This window comes from Homo sapiens, chromosome 1, assembly GCF_000001405.40.
Source record: "Homo sapiens chromosome 1, GRCh38.p14 Primary Assembly".
NCBI classification, from domain to species: Eukaryota; Metazoa; Chordata; class Mammalia; order Primates; family Hominidae; genus Homo; species Homo sapiens.
In genome coordinates, this window is record NC_000001.11 from 244,196,733 (window position 1) to 244,202,794 (window position 6,062).

The 6,062-nt window shown below is 48.0% G+C and overlaps 1 annotated feature.

Moving 5' to 3' along the window:
• Positions 4,568-5,068: an enhancer, noted in NCBI's record as "H3K27ac hESC enhancer chr1:244364602-244365102 (GRCh37/hg19 assembly coordinates)". NCBI's record gives its function as "activates a minimal SCP1, AML or CMV promoter by ChIP-STARR-seq in primed H9 embryonic stem cells {active_cell/tissue: H9 hESC(primed)}" and the evidence as "EXISTENCE:reporter gene assay evidence [ECO:0000049][PMID:30033119]".

The following is a 6,062-nucleotide window of genomic DNA, read 5'->3' on the forward strand; positions in this document are numbered from 1 at the left end:
GAATCTTATGCTAATAGGGCAGTTCAGCTTTCTGAGCTCTCAGTAATAAACTTCATCCCAGGAAAGGGCCAAGAAGAACAAGGGAGACAGGGAGACCCAGAGAGAAAGACTCTTTTCACCTGGCCATAATATATTTATATTGTGCTTGGAATAGAAGAGTCTGAAAATAATTTGGAAAGACAACTGCTTTTATCAAGTGTAAGAAATTAGTTTAACCGAATTTAAATGCAATTATAGGAGCAGCTGGTGAAGGCTAATTTCTGTTCAGTCTGCTTTCTCAGGAACCGCACCCCCATTCTGTTCCCTGGGAAAGGATCAAGTTCCAAGCTTTACATCACTAATGCCAACCCTTATAGGCTGGTCTTGGCCTGGGGTCAGTGCTCAGAGCCACACGCATTAGCCCTCTCCTAGTGTTTACTTCATTTGCTCCTCCCGCTTCCTTTGAAGGAGAGTCCAGGTGTGAGCATGATGCGGACAAATACTGTTGAAAGGCCCCAGTCCCTCTAGGGTCCGTTCTCATGGGCATCATTGCCTCCATTGCATCCAGGGTTCTTCTGGTTCATGACAGTGGATTCCTATGTGATGAGGAAAACTGTTGACTTCAAGAACTGGCGAGTTCTTAAATGTCATCTGCCTGGGCCAAACCACTCACTTTATGGTTGAGAATGAAACCCTTGAGAGGGAGGTATTTCGCCTGCCAGTCCAGCGTTTCTTCCATCACACAACATAACCCCGCCTCTAAAGTGTCAGGCCGGTTGCCTCCAGATGGGGTTAAAAATCATTCCCCTCCCATGTGGGTCAATGTTCATGCCTGTAAGGCCACCTTGAATGTGACAAACTGTAGACACAAGTGTTCAGGCCTTTTTACTTGATGCTGTCCTTCTTAAAATATCAATCCTTCTAGAATGTGTGAGACTTCTTATTTATTCCCCAGTAAAGATGAACTTAGAGAGTTATTTATAGGAGAATGATACTGGAAAGCTGGGAAGGCTTTTAGGAGGTAGGGCAAGGAAGAAAGATGAATAAGCTGGAGGAATCCCAAGGTAAACTCACTTTAGAGCTTGGCTTGGCCGGTCCTACTCCTGAACCCTTATCAAGTGATCCCCAAGGCACTGGGGGTGCCTGTGAAGTTGTCATAGCCTCCTGGGGATCCTCTGCTCCAGCTCTGAACTGGTGGCTCAGGCTAGCCCTGGGATTTCTTTCCTCATGTGCAATCTTCCTGGAACCTCAGCTATCAGAAACACCAAGCAAGACTTCTTATCCCTCAGAAAATCCCCAGATGAGACATCCAGCCTCAGGCCCGGGAGTGCCCAAACAGGTTGTAGTGTTCTTTGCTGCTTGAATGTGGGCCTCCCACCAGCAGCCTGAAATTGCCTGGCATTGGCTGAAAATGCAAATCCCTGCCTGCCCGGGCCCTACTGACTTGCGTCTGAGCTTCTAAGCTCCCTGAGTGGTGGAAGTGGCCGTTAGTGCTTGAGAAGCACGGTCCCAGTCCATCTTTGGCCTCCAGGCAATTCCACACTGAACCTACAGGAATCTTGAGTCCCACACAACCTTTCTGGAAACTCTCACTGATTGTCATTAGGTAACTCGCTGTCAGGACTGGGTGACGGTGGTCTGGGAGAAGGTGCAGGGTAGACAGGCATTCCTGTTTTGCTATTCCTTCCTCCACCTCTAGGCCAGTGAAAACCCTTTGGCCTATCCCAAGTGCCTTCTTGCCAGCTGGACTTCCCCTGCCCATCTCCTACCTGCCCTCCAAGCCAGGGAGGATAGGATGAGACAGCACAGAGTTTGACTTCCCAGGACCCAAGAACCACCTTATTCCAGATTTCCTCTAAGCCCTGAAATTCAAAGAGGGAAAGCAGATGAATATGAGCATGAATGGCAGATTGGTGAGGAAGAGAAATCACAACAGAACAGACTGTGAAAGGGGAGTCAGAGGGGAAGAGGTGGGAGGGGAGGAGCACGAAGGAGAAGACAGGGCATGCTGAATGGGGGAAATGCGAACATCCAGAGGGTATAGCACCTTCCTCTCTCTCTCCTGAGACCATAGTTGCCTCCTTGAGGCTCTTCTCCTGCCCTCTCAATATACCAGGTAGTGCTGCCAGGTCCACTGCCAGACAGCTTCAGGGGGCAGCTGGCGTGACCCAGAGCCAGGTTCTGAGAGCCACCAGCAGCTGCCCAGCAGACAGCACTCTCCAAGACATCCCCTGGCTGACCCCCGCCTTCACCTCACCCCACCTGACCTCTGTGTTCACCCTTTTTCCGTTTTGAGGTGAGGTCTTTCTGCCCATTCTCTCCCACGTGCCTGGGCACCTCCCCGGGTTCAGAACCTGTGGCCACTTTCCTAGCAGCACACACATATGAGGATGCTCGGGTGTGTGCACGTGGGACATGCCCCACTGCTGCCCTGCCACGGGCACTCGCTTTTGCACCCCGGCCCAGCTCGGAAGACTCCTTATGCTCCTGCAGCTGTCTCATCTCCAGAGTCTTAGCTCCTTCCTGCCCCTTCTAATTCTCCTTAGCCCCAAGCAGGATAACCCCCAGGGGGACCTCAGATTGTCCCCGCTTTGTCCCCCCAGCATGATTCCTGGACTGATGAACGTCTTATAACGGTTCTTCACCTTAGGCCCCCAAGTCAGCATTAATCCTCCAAATGCCTGAAGATGTGTTTGTGAAAAACAATAACTGATCTCACAGGACTAAGGATCAAGACTCTTCCCCTAAGCCACAGTTCCCAATCTCATTCTTGAAGGTCTGTTGCCTCAACTTGGAGTTCAGCTCAGCTGAATTTTAGAAAAAAAAAAAATCCCTTTATGGAAACTGGACCTTTCTTTAACGCTGCCGTGATTTGCATATCGAGGGGGTTTCTCAGATTATTGGCAGGGATGGAAAGGGAGGAGGCCCAAAAACATATGCAAAGGTTAATAAATGTTAAAATCTTTGGGGGGAAAGTCCCATCAGAAACATCTAACACAGGCCGGGCACGGTGGCTCATGCCTGTAATCCCAGCACTTTGGGAGGCCAGGGCAGGTGGATCGCCTGAGGTCAGGAGTTCGAGACTAGCCTGGCCAACATGGTGAAACCCCGTCTCTACTAAAATTACAAAAATTAGCTGGGCCTGGTGGCGGGCGCCTGCAATCCCAGCTACTCAGGAGGCTGAGGCAGGAGAATTGCTTGAACCCGGGAGGCGGAGGTTGCAGTGAGCCGAGACCACGCCACTGCACTCCAGCCTGGGCAACACAGCAAGACTCTGTCTCAAACAAAAACAAAAACAAACACAAAAGAAACACATTAACTACATAACCAGGAGATCCTCTTCCAGTTCTATGATTCTGATGCTATTTATAGCACCTGCCAGTCACTGAGAAGTAACATGGCTGTTGAGGAGTGGTTAAAAAAAAAAAGGAGGTGGGCTGTGGGCCTTTGATCTTGAAGGACTTTTTAACTATATGGCAGAGCTCACCTGGTTCAAGCCACCAAGCCCTATTCCCAGGCTAGAGTAACTAGCCAGCCTCTGTTGAATGCTTCTGTTATTTTAAGACCTTAACCCCCAACCTATTCTTTTCTAGGCTACTATTTTTATAGAAAATTGTCCTTCTTTGTAAAGCCATTTTGTTCAACCTCTGCTAAATCTATTGCTGTTAACATTCTTTAAATAAGCAGCACACAAGAAAACAGACAGGTGAGGGAAAGGGGACAGAGCTGGGCCTGGGGTAAGGATGGAGTTAGAGTCTGCAGAACAACACGGAGACCCTCAGGGTCAGGTGAAAGGTTCAGCAGGAAAACAAACTTCAAGTTCAGCCCTCAAAGGCCTGAAGGCAGCCAAGCTTCTGCACAGGACTGGACAGGAGAGCCCTTTAGGACCAAACAAGAAAAAGTTTTCTTTTCTGGGGATCAACTTGCAGCTCAGCTCATGTGAAGGCTGTTCACCGAGGTGTCTCAGCCAGGTGGTGGATTTCTCCTGTTGTCCTGTAACTTGGCTTGAAGCGGAAGATGACCCGTGTCACCTGGCGCCCTGATAACAGAGATTAAATTCCAGCAAAAAGTGCCCATGCCTAGGTTGGCCATTACCATGCCCAGCAGGCTGCTCCCTGCCATCTGGCCACCTTAGAGAGATCACAGCCGCTCTGCTCCTCGCCCACCTGGCTTCAGCTGCCTCCCAACCACAGTGACAGGGACAGCGTGGCCAACACTGGGCACAAACTGGGCTCTGATTTACCTGCTTTCCTGCTCCGGGGATTCTGGGACCAGGTCCCCCAGTGCTGTTGTGCCCCAGTTTTCCACAGAATTAATGTCCCTGTCCCTTGGGGTAAGCAATCTTTTAACATTATTTACAAATATTGAAACATTCACGGCTCAAGTGCATTTGTGGCATTCAGAGCACTAACATTTGCTGGAGGACCTCCGTAGAGATTTCCTAAAGTATTAAGTACAGAAAATAAGTACTAGATACAGGGCATGTCAGGGGAAAGTGTGCACACCCTGTAGACATTTAGATGGTCTCGTGTTACTATTACAAAGAGGAGATCCAGAAAAATATCAGCCAGAAGCCCTGGGCAGCAAACAATCTGACATAATATTGCTATGTTTCTTAAAAGGGGATTTTAAATATGGCCGGGTAATAGCTTGTGATATTTCTACAAATCTGAGCACTTCATCTATTGGTCTGTTTACACATTGGCTTATTTCACTAGTGAATTATAAGAATATACATACTAAAATGCAAAAATATATAGAGATACATGCAAAAGCAGAGACAGCACATTTAGAACAGCAGGAAAAATCTGTCATCAGATACGTGGATCCCAGGGTTGGTTACTCAGAGAAATACAGTTGAGTCACAAAGAACACGGATGCTTAAACTGGTTGAGGCTGGATGGTCTCTGAACGCGGTCCTCACCAGTGTTGGCGGCATTAATCAATGCCCGCGTGAGCATGGCACTGGCTTTGCATGGAGTAAGCTGCGCTCTTGCCTTCCAGAAGCTCAAGAGGTTTGGGGTAAAGAAAGGGGATTTCTCCTTTGGGCTCTGGTGCAAACAGGCACTGACATAAATGATTTTGGGGAAAAAAAGGCTGAGGTCAGCAGGCGGTTTGTCTGAGGTCAGAGGCTGGATACAGGTGGGATCCCAATGGCCAGTGACATCTGTGCCACGGTCTCCTCCACTGCCTACGCTCATAGCCTGTGGCCATTTGTCCCGTCCACAGCCCACTTGTCGCTACTCAGGTTGGACTGCACAGGCCGTCCCTGAGGACCTGCCCAGGCCTACACAGAGCAGCCTGCAACAAACCTCTCCTTTCCTAAGTAGCTCCTTTCCCCCTCGCCCTCGTCCCTAAAATGTTCAGCATTGGTAGCACATACAGAGGTTAAAGCAGATCCTATTTTAAAGCTTAATAACAACTTGCTAAGTATCTGCATGAATTTGTCCATCTGATGAATTGATTTGAAAACTGGCCCCGAGAGACAAGTTCAGTGGCTGATGAGAAGGAGAAGCACCCTGAAGCAAGGACCAAATCCTCCCACAGTGAGGCTTTTGGATCTCCAGAAGCCATCCCAGGACCCCTGGAACCTTGGGAAAGGGAATTATGAAAACCAGAATAGGGAAGAAGGGAAGGGAAGGTTTTCTTTCTTCCTAATTGAGCTAACACTGATGTGTTGATGACTAAGACCCCTAGATAAATTTTTGTCATGCCTTAAGCAAAGTTAATACTGTTCTGTTTTGTATTCATGCACTTAATTTGCTTTTCCCGAGTAAAAATATTAGGTTGGTGCAAAAGTAATTCCGGTTTTTGCCATTAATTTCGATGGCAAACGTTGCAATTACTTTAGCATCAGCCTAATAGCTTAGATTTGGTTTTGGCAACGATGGAAAGAAATAAATTGCATTTCGGCACCCAGCTTCACCCTGGATTTCCTTTTGTGAATCCCCACTCTTAAGCACCCAAAGGTCTTATATTGTCCGTTGAATATTCAATGTCTTCCTATAATAGACTTTAAAAGGGTTGTTATTTTTCCCTATCTCAATAGCAATCAATTAAAATAGCTAAATGTGACTTCCAAT